This window comes from Homo sapiens, chromosome 6 (genome assembly GCF_000001405.40).
Source record: "Homo sapiens chromosome 6, GRCh38.p14 Primary Assembly".
Taxonomy (NCBI): Eukaryota; Metazoa; Chordata; class Mammalia; order Primates; family Hominidae; genus Homo; species Homo sapiens.
The window spans coordinates 49,429,786-49,443,714 of NC_000006.12; the positions used below are offsets into that span (position 1 = coordinate 49,429,786).

The 13,929-nt window shown below is 35.0% G+C and overlaps 1 protein-coding gene across 2 annotated transcripts in view; it reads right to left on the reverse strand.

Moving 5' to 3' along the window:
- Window positions 575-13,929, reverse strand: part of MMUT (methylmalonyl-CoA mutase) — a 32,894-nt gene continuing 19,539 nt past the window's right edge. For both annotated transcript variants that reach the window (XM_005249143.4, NM_000255.4), the window contains exons 10-13: window positions 12,055-12,186; window positions 10,421-10,568; window positions 5,671-5,838; window positions 575-2,071 (exon numbers count right to left, since the gene is read on the reverse strand). In XM_005249143.4, coding sequence (XP_005249200.1) covers window positions 1,943-2,071; window positions 5,671-5,838; window positions 10,421-10,568; window positions 12,055-12,186 — 577 coding nt within the window. In that variant the 3' untranslated portion in view covers window positions 575-1,942. The remainder of the gene's footprint in view (window positions 2,072-5,670; window positions 5,839-10,420; window positions 10,569-12,054; window positions 12,187-13,929) is intronic.

A 13,929-nucleotide genomic window follows, 5' to 3' on the forward strand; every position in this document is an offset into this window, starting at 1 on the left:
TGGTTGTGCTGGAATCTTCTATTTTGAATCAGATGTTTTCGATGAAAGGAAATGAGGAAAGTAGTTGTCTTCCTGATCCATTAATTATTTTCTTGTACTATTTGGTGAATATCGGATAGCTTATCTGTATAAAATATCTATCCACTTTTTTAATATACTTGGTTATTTTCCTGATCATTTCCAAAAGTCAGCTCATTGTTGGGCATACAAGTTTTCATCCAAAAATAAGGATAGTAATAAAGGTCGGATGAAATTTCTTTTGGAATCTTTTGGAATCTAAATAACACTAAAGTGTTTAAGTTTTAACACTTTCTCGATTTAATAATAATGAGAAAATTTAATCTTAGAGTCAGGCCAGATTTCATTTCTATGAGTTATGCCACTGGATATTTCAGAAAATAGGTTTTCAATAGTAAGGTTATTGGAGCCAGTACTTCTGACTTCGGGTAAACACACACACACAAACACACACACACACACACACACACACACACAATGGATGTGAAATTTGGTAGCAAGTGGCTGCTATTCTTCCTCCCAAAGTAGTCTACTCAAAAGATACTGTCAAGAGCTGTAAATTCCTCAAGGATGAGTTTATTTCACATGTCACCCAGCACGCAACTGAACACATCACAGAAACCAAATACTTACTAAATTAGTGTGCATTGCTTTACAAGGAAAAGTCAATAAAATGGCATAGTGAATATATCATTGGACTTGAAGTCAGTGTTCATCTGAAAATGGGAACAATAATCATGACAATACCATTCAGATAATCATATTCTGAAAATTAAATACATTGTATTACAATGAGTTTGTAAATTCTACAGTAATGTATCTATAATACTTTCCAAAAGACTGCTCTCTGATCTAATACAATAGAAATTTATTAAAAAAGATAATTATTTATGTTATATTCATGTAATGGATCATGTTAACAATAAAGGACAACTTTCCTTTTTTATTTAAACTTTTTTTATTTTACATTCTGGGGAACATGTGCAGGATGTGCAGATTTGTTAAACAGGTAAATGGCAACTTTCCTTCTTTAGTGAGCAAATCTTTCAGTAAGCAAAGTACAGGTGTTCTCTGTGATATTTTTATTTTTGCAATTTATGTTTAAGGAGCAAATCTATGCAAGGTAGCATCTTTCTAGATCTGGAAAGTTGAATTCTTTCTATATCACAGACCTACACTCACAGTTGACATCACCATTCTAGACAAAGCCATAACTACAACCTAAGCACTTTTATTTAAAGGAATGTTCATCAACATCCACTCTCCTTGGTCTTGAGCCAAGCCCAGAAATAACAAGGTCAGATGGTCATGATCAGGAAGAAAGTAAACTCAGACTTGAAGAAATATACTGTCAAATTCCCCATATTCCAACCTGCTGTGCTTGATTTTAATACTTCTTTTATTAAGGTGATTCTGGTAGAATTTGGCTGAGGACTCCTCCCAAAATCTCTTTTGCCACGTAAATACACTCCACTAGTTTTTCAAGATAGGTTTTTATTAATATATGGATTTTATTTTCTGGTGCTCAAGACAATGTAATGCTAAACTGACAAATGGGAATAGTCAGAGTTTTTTTAGGTACAGTTTAATTCTTAATATAAAAAGTAAACAGATTTATAAGAAACATTCTAATAAATACATCACCATGATTTTTAAAAATAATACCATTGTCCAGAGTTCTTGATAAAGTATTGTTATAGAGAGTATAGAGAGTTTTTAGGGATTTTTTTTTTATTTTTGAAGTGAAACTGTATGTACATACTTATAGCATGACACCAGGCCTATAAGTAAGGTATTTTAAAGTAAAGCTTTCAAGGAAAGTACAAATCAGGTATTGAAATTAAATTGAAGACATAGCTTTACTCTCTTCTTTGATCATAACTAAAATAATATTTTAGACAAAAGCTAAAACAAAAAGAGGATATTATACAGATTGCTGCTTCTTTTCCAAACACTTCTCAATATCATCAAGCACCTGAACGGCAGCCTTTGGAATTCGAGTCCCAGGACCAAATACATTGGAAACACCAACTTCAAACAGAAATTCATAATCCTGTTGAAAGAATGTGTTTAATTAATAAGAGCCACTATTTCCATTTTCACGGAAATAAAACCCTATCCTTTCTTCTTTGTCACTCAATTACCCAAAACCTTCTCAACTGGTATACTACTGGCATTTGGGGCTAAAAAATTCTTCCTTGATTGGGAGTGCTACTAATAGTCATCAGCACCAGCCTCCCAGCCCAAGTTATTTAAAAAACAAAACACTCCGCCCATTTTCTAAATGCCTCTATGTGTTGCTTGTGGTAGGAAGCTGGATATCCTGACTGAGAACTTCTGAGCCTTAAGCCATAATTTTCTCTCACCTAAATTTTCACTAGTTGTCATTATGTGTGTTAAATTTAGTATGATGTGATAAGTTTGAGCCTAAAAAACTATTTTCTCCTAGGTATTTTGTCTGCAGTTAGTGAATGATGGCACTTTGAATTTGGACAACTGATAGATTTTCTATAAATGAAAATAAGCCCATTTTTTTTTTCATTCTCTGTTGCTGTTGATTTTTTTTAGTTTATTTATTTGTTTTGTTTATTTATTTATTTTTGAGATGGAGTCTCGCTCTGTTGCCCAGACTGGAGTGCAGTGGCGCTATCTCGGCTCACTGCAAGCTCCGCCTCCCGGGTTCACGCCATTCTCCTGCCTCAGCCTTCCAAGTAGCTGTGGCTACAGGCGCCCGCCACCATGCCCGGCTAATTTTTTGTATTTTTAGTAGACACAGGGTTTCACCACGTTAGCCAGGATGGTCTCAATCTCCTGACCTCGTGATCCGCCCACCTTGGCCTCCCAAAGTGCTGGGATTACAGGCATGAGCCACCGTGCCTGGCCTTTTTAGTTTATTTTAACAGTCAAAGTATGAGTGAAAAGATATCAAGGGCACAAATAATACTGCAGGATTTAGGCTGTTATAACATCTGAACATTTGTAGCTGCAATATCGATTGATGTTAGGATGTGCTACAAGAACCTGATCATTATCCAGTAGGGTGATCATATATGACAGGACAGTCTGATTTTTGTTTATTGTTGCAGCACCCTTTTTAAGAGCACCCATTTCTATTCTCAAGTGATAAATTATATGGTCATGCTAATTACTCCCCAACTACTACTTTTCTGTCTCTATTATATACTTGTAATATTCTTATAATACTATAATATTGCAACAGAACTTAACACATCTCATTGAACTTGTCTCCTTCTAGTCTGTGAAATTCTGAGAGTAGAGATCATGTCCAATCTGTTTCCCCAGTACTTGACACATAAAAGTGCTCAAAACATGTCATTGTTCTTGAGTAGATGATACAGAGTTTAAGAGCTCATAAGGGAACTGAATGAAACATGTAATAATAATCATCTCTAAATTGGAGATGTCAGATTAATAGGTCTTGTACTTCTCTCCTTCCTAAAAATCCCATGTACCATTTGTCCTGACATCTGAGTTATGGATTTAGAATGGAGGATTCAACTGGAAGAGAACTGCAAGATGTTGCAACTGAAAAAAGGGTATGTGACTTATCTAACTCTTTCTTACATAAGCCTTGTAAAATATACCTTTGTGAGGGGGTTGTATACAGATATTTTTTGTACTATTTTTATTTTTGCAACTTATCTGTTAGTTTGAAATTATTTCCAAATAAAAATATATGTTTGAATGTCCTCCACTTAGCTGGGCCAGGGATAGCACAGTGCCTGCTTCATGATGGAAGCAGGCATTGTGAGTCTACTCAACTTGCTGAAAAAACTTGGAGGCGACTGCTGCTAAGAGAGTTAGAAAATACTGATCGTAGTAACATACTGATGAGGAGAGACCACGTTTATTCATTTAATCAGACTGCAGAAACTGTTAAGCTCCACATGGCAGAAGCTGTATCTGTTTGATTAGCCACTAGATATTAGTGCCTTCTAATTTAAAACTAAGTGACCTTTAATTGAATAATAGCAACATTTTACATATTCACTGCAAACAAATAGTGAGAAAATACAAGGGTGTTAACTGCTATAATTATATAATACCCATATTCACACAAAAGTATAACACAGAAAATGGTCCTTATCCTTAGTTGTTAAATTCATGGGAAAAATCACATGGCAAACACCTAAAGATGTTCTAAGTAATTTAAATATCCAGAGAATTAATACAACTTATTTGAAATATAATTCTTGAAAATGTCAGCTCACTTATATAACAGGCATTTTTTTTTTCTCAACATGAATTCCAATTCAAATGTTTTCTACTGGCTAATTATTTTGGTCCTTACATTTTAATATCATGCCTAGGTATCACAGACTCTAAAACTGCAACGCTGATAGAAGCGTTCTGTAGACAGACTGCAATAAAGAATAACTACCCTTTATTTTCTCAAATAATGACCTATTTTATGAATATAATAGGCAAGCATATTAACAAAAAGAATTTTGTGTTGATTATATCACATTAAATAATGTGTTGTTGGAAAGAAAATAAATATGTAGTTTGTTCAGTAGCCCCACTTTATTACGAATCTCACAACTTTATTCATATGAATTTTCTCCTTTCACAAGTAGTATATGAATGTACTATTCTATATTCTGAGTATTAATGGAGGAAAAAAAAACTGTAGAGCTGGAAACAAGGTCACATTTTACTGATGGATTCCTGCTATAGTGATGGGGCCTTTGCAGCTAGCATCTATGAGTCATTTACTTACGACAGCTTCATATACAGTTCTTCTAACTTGACATTTTTTCCATTCTCAGTAAAAAAGAAAATCTTGATATAATTGAGAACTGGATTGGAAACAGAACCTATTTGTATTTTAAATAACTATTTTAACTGGCCAGGAATGTCATATGTGGAAGGTGTCTCCCTACCTCATTAATAAATTAACTGATATCATTGTAGGTAACATCTGTTTCTCCTCTACTAAGAGGACTCACAGTTTTGTTCATGTATTCACCTCCTCCCCATTCAGCCTATAATTTTCAAGACAAGCTGATTCCATTTATGTCTGCAATAGGATATTTTTGGCTCCCGAAATACCAAGCCCTAATCAGATTAGCTTAAATAATAAAGGGTTTTATAGGACCATGTAAATGATATAGCTCTGAGGTAAGATAACATTTAGGGATGGGACCATCCTGGAGGAAAAGCACAAGGTAGCTCCTTCTAAATAGAAGCAAGCAAACTAAAGGACTCATTCCACCCCCCAGGACAAGGAGTACTCACTATATCTCTGGCTAGGTTTTGATATATTCACTGTGTATTTACTACCACTGTTCTCTACTCCACTTATGAGTTTTATTACTTTTATCCTGTTCCTTCTCCATAACTGTTTATTGAGAATGAAGGTAAACATCTAGCATAGGTTACTGGTTTGCAAGGAGGTAGTTCTCTCATTGAAGCTTTGTAAAGTGTTAAGTTAAATTATACATAATAAATTGCAATATAACTTGAATGCAAAACAACACTGTCCACTTTTAGACCTTGTAGAATTTATTTAGTGAAATCACCAGGAAATAATATGTTCCTAAATCTACAAGTTTATCTTTAGAACCACAAATAAGCTATCATTACTCAAGATTCCCATCACAGTACTAGAAAAATAGAGATAAAAAATACCTGAGGTGGTATCACCCCTCCACACATGACAAGAATATCTGGCCGTCCAAGGGAGTTAAGTTCTTTGATGAGTTCAGGAACTAGGGTTTTATGACCAGCAGCGAGGGTGCTTATGCCCACAGCATGCACATCCGCATCCACAGCCTGCTGGGCCACTTCACGAGGAGTCTAAACAGTCAGAAAGTAAAGATAAATCATTGTTTATTACTAGATAATGACTATAAAAACCCTGGAAGACAATCTAGGCAATACCATTCAGAACATACTAATGGGCAAAGACTTCATGATGAAGATGCCAAAAGCAATTACAACAAAAGCAAAAATTGACAAATGAGATATAATTAAACTAAAAAGCATCTGCACTGAAAAGGATACTATCAACACAGTAAACAGATAACCTACAGAATGGGAGAAAACTTTTGCAAACTGTGAATCTGACAAAGGTCTAATACCTGCATCTATAAAAAACTTAAACAAATTTACAAAAAAACATTAAAAAGCAGGCAAAAGACATGAACAGACACTTTCCAAAAAAGACATACATGTGGCCAACAATCGTATTTTTAAAAAGCTCCAAATCACTGATTGTTAGAGAAATGCAAATAAAAACCCCAATGAGACACCATTTCACACCAGTCAGAATGGCTATTATTAAAAAGTCAAAAAATAACAGATGCTAGCAAGGTTGTGGAGAAAATGGAACGTTTATACAGTGTTGGTGAGAGTGTAAATTAGTTCAACCATTGTAGACGACAGTGTGGTGATTCCGCACAGACCTCAAAACAGAAATACCTCCCAACCCAGCAATCCCATTACCGTACATATACCCAAATGAACAGAAATCTTTCTATTATAAAAACATGCTTGCAGCTGGGCGTGGTGGTTCATGCCTGTAATTCTAGCACTTTGGGAGGCAGAGGCGGGTGGATCACTTGAGGTCATGAGTTCGAGACCAGCCTGGCCAACATGGTGAAACCCATCTCTACTAAAAATACAAAAATTGGCCAGGTATGGTGGCACGTGCCTGTAGTACCAGATACTCATATGGCTGAGGCAGAAGACTCACTTGAACCCAGGAGGTGGAGGTTGTAGTGAGCCAAGATCATACCACTGCACTCCAGCATGGATGAAAGAGCGAGACTCTGTTTCAAAAAAAAAAAAAAAAATACACATTCACATGTATGTTCATTGTAGCACTATTCACCACAGCAAAGACATGGAATCAACCTAAATGCCCATCAGTGATAGACTGGATAAAGAAAATGTGATACACACACACTAAAGAATACTATGCAGCCAGAAAAAAAGAATGAGATCGTGTCCTTTGCAGGAACATGGATGAAGCTGGAAGCCATTACCCTTAGCAAACTAATACAGGAACAGAAAACCAAATACCACATGTTCTTTCTTATAATTGGGAGCTAAATTATGAGAACACATGGACACAAACAAGGCAAAGAGGGAAACAACACACACTGGGGCCTATCAGAGGGTAGAGGAGCAGGAGGAGGGAGGTCAGAAAAACAACTAATGGGTACTAGGCTTAACAACACAAGTTTACCTATATAACAAATCTACACATGTACCCCTGAACTTAAAATAAAAGTTAAAAAAACAAACAAAAAATAATATTTTTTTGAATACTAAAAGAATGTTTCCTCAAATGTTGGGGGGTCTTCCTAATGTAATGCCTACAGATATCAGAAACTTTTAAATTTAATATTCATCGTTACATTATTTCCCTCAGAGAACTTTGTTCTGATTATTTACATTTTTCATCAAATTTTCTGAAAACAATAACTCAATCCCTAATTTTTAGTGTTTGCTGATTTTTATGTTGTGAATATTCCAACCATAGCCAATTTCACCCTATTAACATGACATTACTAAATGCAAAGCAGAAAAAAAGACACACAATAGCCACACAATTATACAGTATCACTACCATATAGAAAAAATAGATGGAAATAACCTAAAAAGCAGATAATAAAATATATAAATATAGGGAGTGATAAGTTTTTAGTACTTATCACTTTTGGTTTTAGGCAATAGTAAAAGGTCTACTCTCTAGAATCTACAAGGAACTTAAACAAATGAGACACCATTTCACACCATGAAAAACAACTGGCTTTTGAAATTCTTAAAAATTTAATTCCTGGAGGCCTCATTATTCCTTAGTGGTTCTAGCAATCCTGCCTACATATCTGTAAGTAGTCCCTCCATTAAATTTTCTTCAAAATCCTAGCTGAGATTTGGTTTCTCTTGAGACCCTGACATTGCCCTAGTTAAGGTCTTCGTTGTTTCTCATTGTTTTTCTTCACCGTACTGCTTGAATCTAGTTGCAGCTCTCCTCCATCCACTTCAGAGAGTGATTTTACTAGAAAGTGAATGGCACTGTGCTTCTGAAACAAACATAAGTTTTAAGGATCAACAAATATAAGTTTCTGGGTTTCTTGTAACAAGTGAGGTGCCCTCTTTGTCCATATTTTAGTTATAGTAATTTTATACTATAGTTATAGTATAGTATAAAGTTATAGTAATTTAGTTATAGTAATTTTCATACTATGTACGAAATAGTAATAATTTACATAGTAAATTTCATACGATGTAATTACAAGTAAGTAAATCTCTCTTTGTTAGGAGATTGTAACCTCGAGGACAAAATTGTATCCTACTCAACTCAGAGCCTAGCATCTGGTAGATGATCAATACATATGTAGTAGAGAAGGCTTTTCATATAAAATTATTACAATGTACTTTCTAGTCAAATTTTTTTGTATTATCATTCTATGGAAAATGTCAGTGTAATTTATCTCCTGCAAACTATTTTCCTGTCTAAGTCTAATATTCTGTGACTAAGTAACATATTAGTAGAGAGTTAAAAAAAGACAACAAAAATAAACGAAAATAACCTTACTTATGAATTGAGTTTATATTGCTATTTGATTTCTTTTTCAAAACACTTTTCACCAATCCCATGTGGGCTATCTTTCCCACAAAATATTAGTCAAATCTCAATAAAGAGTACAATAAGATCTTTGAAAGTAATCTTCATAGTTCCAGAGGCATAATCAGTTTTAGTTCTGAACTGACACTTTTAAAAGTCTGAAAGATTAATTATATTTTATTTTTATTTCTATCATAATTAATTGGACTATATGTGTTATGGTTAATACTCCATGTCAACTTGGTTGAAGGATACAAAGTATTGACCCTGAGTGTGTCTGTGAGGGTGTTGTCAAAGGAGATTAACATTTGAATCAGTGGGCTAGGAAAGGGCTAGACCCACCCTTAATCTGGGTGGGCACCATCTAATCAGCTGCCAGGCGTGGCTAGAATATAAGCAGGCAAAAAAATGTGAATAGAGAGACTGATCTAACCTCCAAGCCTACATCTTTCTCCCGTGGTGGATGCTTCCTGCCCTTGAACATTGGACTCCAAATACTTCAGTTTGGGAACTCGGACTGGCTCTCCTTGCTCCTCAGCCTGCAGAAGACCTATTGTGGGACCTTGTGATCATGTGAGTTAACACTTAATAAACTCCCCCTTACATATATATATATAAAGGCTGAGGGAGAGAAGGCAGGGTGGCAGGAGTGGAGACCATGGGCATTTGAGCTACTTTCTCATGTAACTTACTTGTGCCTTCAGGACCTGCTCAAGCTGGACCACATATATACCACTTCCATTTGATGATGGAATGCTGCTGTGCAAGACCCACTTTATAGTTAGATGGGTCAGAAAGCACCCAGTTCATGATAGGCAGTTCTGGTCGCATGGTGACTTGATGACCCATAGTCAAACATTCAGTTTCCACCAAAGTCCAGTAACAGGCCAAGAGCTGTCTCTCAAAAGGAGAGTAGTTATCTGCAGAAGATGGCAGGCCCTTCCTCCAAAATCTTAGAGGCCTCTGCTGTGACTCACCTATGGGGGCCTGCCAAAGGCTCCAAACATCATTGCTATCTGCCACTGACACCTCAAGCACCATTGGATCTGCTGGGTCATATGGCCCAAGTGGCAGAGTAGCTTGCACAGCAGCCTGGACCTGTTGCAGAGCCTTCTCCTATTCTGGACCCCACTCAAAACTGGCAGTCTTTTGGGTCACTCGATAAATAGGCCAGAGTAACACAGAGTAACACATTCCAAATGAGGAATGTGTTGCTTCCAAAAATCCAAATAGGCCCACTAGGCATTGTTCCTCTTTCTTGGTTTTAGTAGGAGACAAATTCATTAATTTATCCTTCTAAGATTATCCTTAGAAGGAATATCTCAACAGGTCCCACACCACTGGACCCCTTACTGAGGGAGAAGGTCCCTGAATTTTAGTCAGATTTATTTCCCATCCTCTGGCATGCAACTGTCTCACCAATAAGTCCAGTATGTTTGCTACTTCTTGCTCACTGGATTTAATCAGTATAATGTCATCAATTAATGGACCAGTGTGATATCTTGCAGAAGTGAAAAGTGATCAAGGTCTCTCCGAATAAGATTATGACAAAGCCAGAGAGTTAATAAACCCCTGCAGTAGGACAGTAAAGGTATATTGCTGGCCTTGCCAGCTGAAGGCAAATTGCTTCTGGTGGGCCTTATGGGCAGGAATGGAGAGAAAGGCATTTGCCAAGTCAGTGGCTACATACCAGTTACCAGGAGATGTATTAATTTGCTCAATGTCTGTCATCATTTTACTACATTTTCTAAATGTAAGTGACTAGTAAATACTTTTGAAATTCCCCCCAACAGTTTTTAGTACCTGGAAAAGAGGGCCTATGTCCACATCAAAACCAAGATCAGCAAATCCTGTAGCAATAACTTTTGCTCCTCTGTCATGGCCATCTTGTCCCATTTTTGCTACAAGAAGACGAGGTCTGCGACCTTCACGTTCCATGAATTTATGAACCCTGAAAAACATTTAAAAATATATCAGTAGTTAGATACTAATTTTCCAAAGGGAAGATATAAAAACTAATTTATTCACAGCAAATCTTTCAAGTTTATTTAAAAGCACCTAATTTGTTTACTTGTATTTTGGGTTGTTTTTTTTTTCCAATTTTTATTTTACATTCAGGGGTTAATGTGCAGGCTTGTTACATAGTTAAACACGTGCCATGGTAAACAGCTGCATAGATCACCCCATCACCTAGGTATTAAGCCCAGCATCCATTAGCTATTCTTTGTGATGATCTCCCTACTCTCGTCCATATTTTGTTAATGCATCTATTTTACATTGAGAGCTCCATTAAAGCCATTTCCCCCTTAGAGGAAAGTCTGAAAGATGGCACAGACTGTAAGCACATAACACTGAGAACATCACGGTGAACTAAGACAAAAAATGACAACCTCCCACCTTCGTGAGCCAGGGTACAGAGTACAACATGCAGAAAGATTGAAATATAAACTAAAAAGTGACTTCATGGTCATTTATACATATATGTGATAGACTGGCTGCTTTGAATTGTCCATATCTCATCTACCCTTCATAAGTGTGAACTCTCCCAAGGTAACAGCAATATGGTTTCTTATCATGCTATATAAATCAAAATGCTTGCTTGCTCCACTGACAAATTTACTTCCAACACAAAAAAGCACTTATCTTTGTTAAAAGAAAAAAGTTCCATTTTGATGACTTTCACCTTGGCTGTTTTGATATTTATCTAGTGTACAAGTATGGAAATTCAGTTTTTAATTGGAAGCTTGTTACAGAGGTTGGAAAGACCAATCATCAAAAAGCTAGTTCTTACACTTGAGAAATATGATCACATTAATATATATTTCCAAGTCATGCTGTGGAAATAAATGTAAGTTATTATCAGTTCAATAAATACTGATTGTAATGTATGCATAGATGCCAACTAAATGTTTACTTTCAATTATGAAAATTAAGATTTTATAATTATTCAAGCAATGAAAAATGTAAACAACTTCAAAAAATATGAAACTCTACCATAGTAAGCAGATTGAAATATAAATACCTGGAGGATATGAAGCAATATCATTGTTAGTTAAACATCTGTTTGACATGAGAAACTCCTGAAGGGGACTATGGTGAAAGTTCAAAATAGTATTAATTATATGAAAACTAATATTAGTTTCAATATTTGATATTTATTATTAAATATTATCATGTACCTATTAAAATGATAGTATAGATATATAATATGTATCATGTATGATATATTTCTAATTATATATTATATGTAATGAATAAATTATATACTCTATTATATGTTATATAGTCTATATAATTAATATTTAATTTACTATTTATTATTATAAAATTCAAAAATTTTCTCAGTTGTATGTAAGGAAATTAAGCTCCCAGTAGATTCAAGGGGATTGTGCTAACAGAAAAGATGAAATTCTGGCCTAAGAAACCTTACATATTACCTCTTGATAGCAGATGTTATCTCTTTACTTTCTCCAAATTCCTGGCGATATGCTCCACTCACCATTCGATCATTCGCTTTATGTTCACCAAATACCTTTTTCAGGGCATCTGTGATTTCTCCCACTGTACATCTGAAACATGAAATGGTGGTTCCATTAACTTCATTATTTTGTGATAAAGATATCTGTTTACCATAATATTCAATATAATTAAACATTTTATTACATAAGTAAATGACTGTAAAAATGTAAAATAAGAATTTTTTAATGCATTATGAAAGCATCTCTTCTGAAATTACTTAAGAAAAATTTATTCTGGATGCCTTTATGCATCCAATTCTCTTTTCAACATTTGTCAACCAAGAAATGACTGAATGACCTAATAATTATATATATAGACAAGTACCTGAAGGTTGCTGAATAATTCACCACTTAACACAAATGGATAAACAGCAACACTCCCATAAATATTTTTTGATAAGAAGTAAATCTTTTAGCATATTCCATCCATTTGTTCACTAACTCATCCAACATTAGCTGTGTGCCTAATATGTGCCAGATATTACTATATCTCTATATCTACTATAGCGATACAGTAATAAATGAGACCAAAGAAAAAGTACTTGTTCTTATAGACATTAACATCTGTAACATCTAGTCAGAGGATGCAGATGATAAATAACTAAATAAATAAACTAGTAAGACAATTTCATAAGGTAATAAGTACTACAAAGACACTAAACCACGCAAAGATGGAATGGGCTGTCTGGAAGAACCATTTTAAAGTTATTGAAGATGTGAAGATATGACTTTTGAACTAAGATATAAATTATAAAAAGGGGGATCCCAAGGGAACATAAAACAGTAAGAGTGTTTGAAAAAGGAAGCACTAAAAGCAAAGGCTCTGAGATGTAGGAAAATATGTTTTATGTTCTAAAAATAGAAAGAAGGGCATTAGGAACACGGCATAGTGAGGAAAGTGGTATAAGATGAGGTCAGAGAGATGGGCAAGAGTCACATCTAGCACATCTTGCAGACTATCGGAAGATTAGGTTTGAATATAAAAGGAATGGGCAACCATCAAAGGACTTTAATAAAAGTCATCTAATTTTTTTAATGAAATTAGTAGTAGAAAAAAACAGTACATACAAGTTATACTATACCTTAACCAGTTAAAGCAACATATTTTTTTAAAACTTCATTATATTAAGAAATAAACACTTAAAAGCAAAAGTAATCATTTAATGATACTGCCATATATTGGGAGAAAATTTTCCATGGGTCACTTGCTTTTCTGCACATCCTGTGGAGCAAAGCACTGACACCTCTTTATTCTGGACTATCTTTTCAAAGATGTCTGTATAGTGAATCGCCTTAGAAGACAGAAATATTGGCTACCTCCAGAGCAAAGAGTAGGTTTGCTTTCTGTCCAATATAATAATGTCTTCCTCTAGAAAAATGGAGGACATGCTTATTACCCATTACAAAAGATTCCGAATCCCTAAGCTCAGGCTTCCTCTCCTTGAATGTAACCCAATGCACTGTACATGAGGTATCATCTAGCAGTCCTTTTCACATCACTCACATCAATTGGGCATCAAAGGAACTAGCCCAAAACCTGCTGATGTTATGGCTATTAATATTGTAGTAACAAACTGTCATTAGGTTCTGATCCAGGGATCTCATATCATCAACCAACACCCCACTATACAGGATAACTTGTTAGCTTGCAAGAAGGGTAATATTTCAGACTCCTTCTGGTTCTTAATATAATAAATTTATTTATATATGATACATATAATGAGATAATTTTTAAATAACAACAAATAGAAAAATAATAAAAATTAACACATTAAGTGCCATATTCTGTTCCAG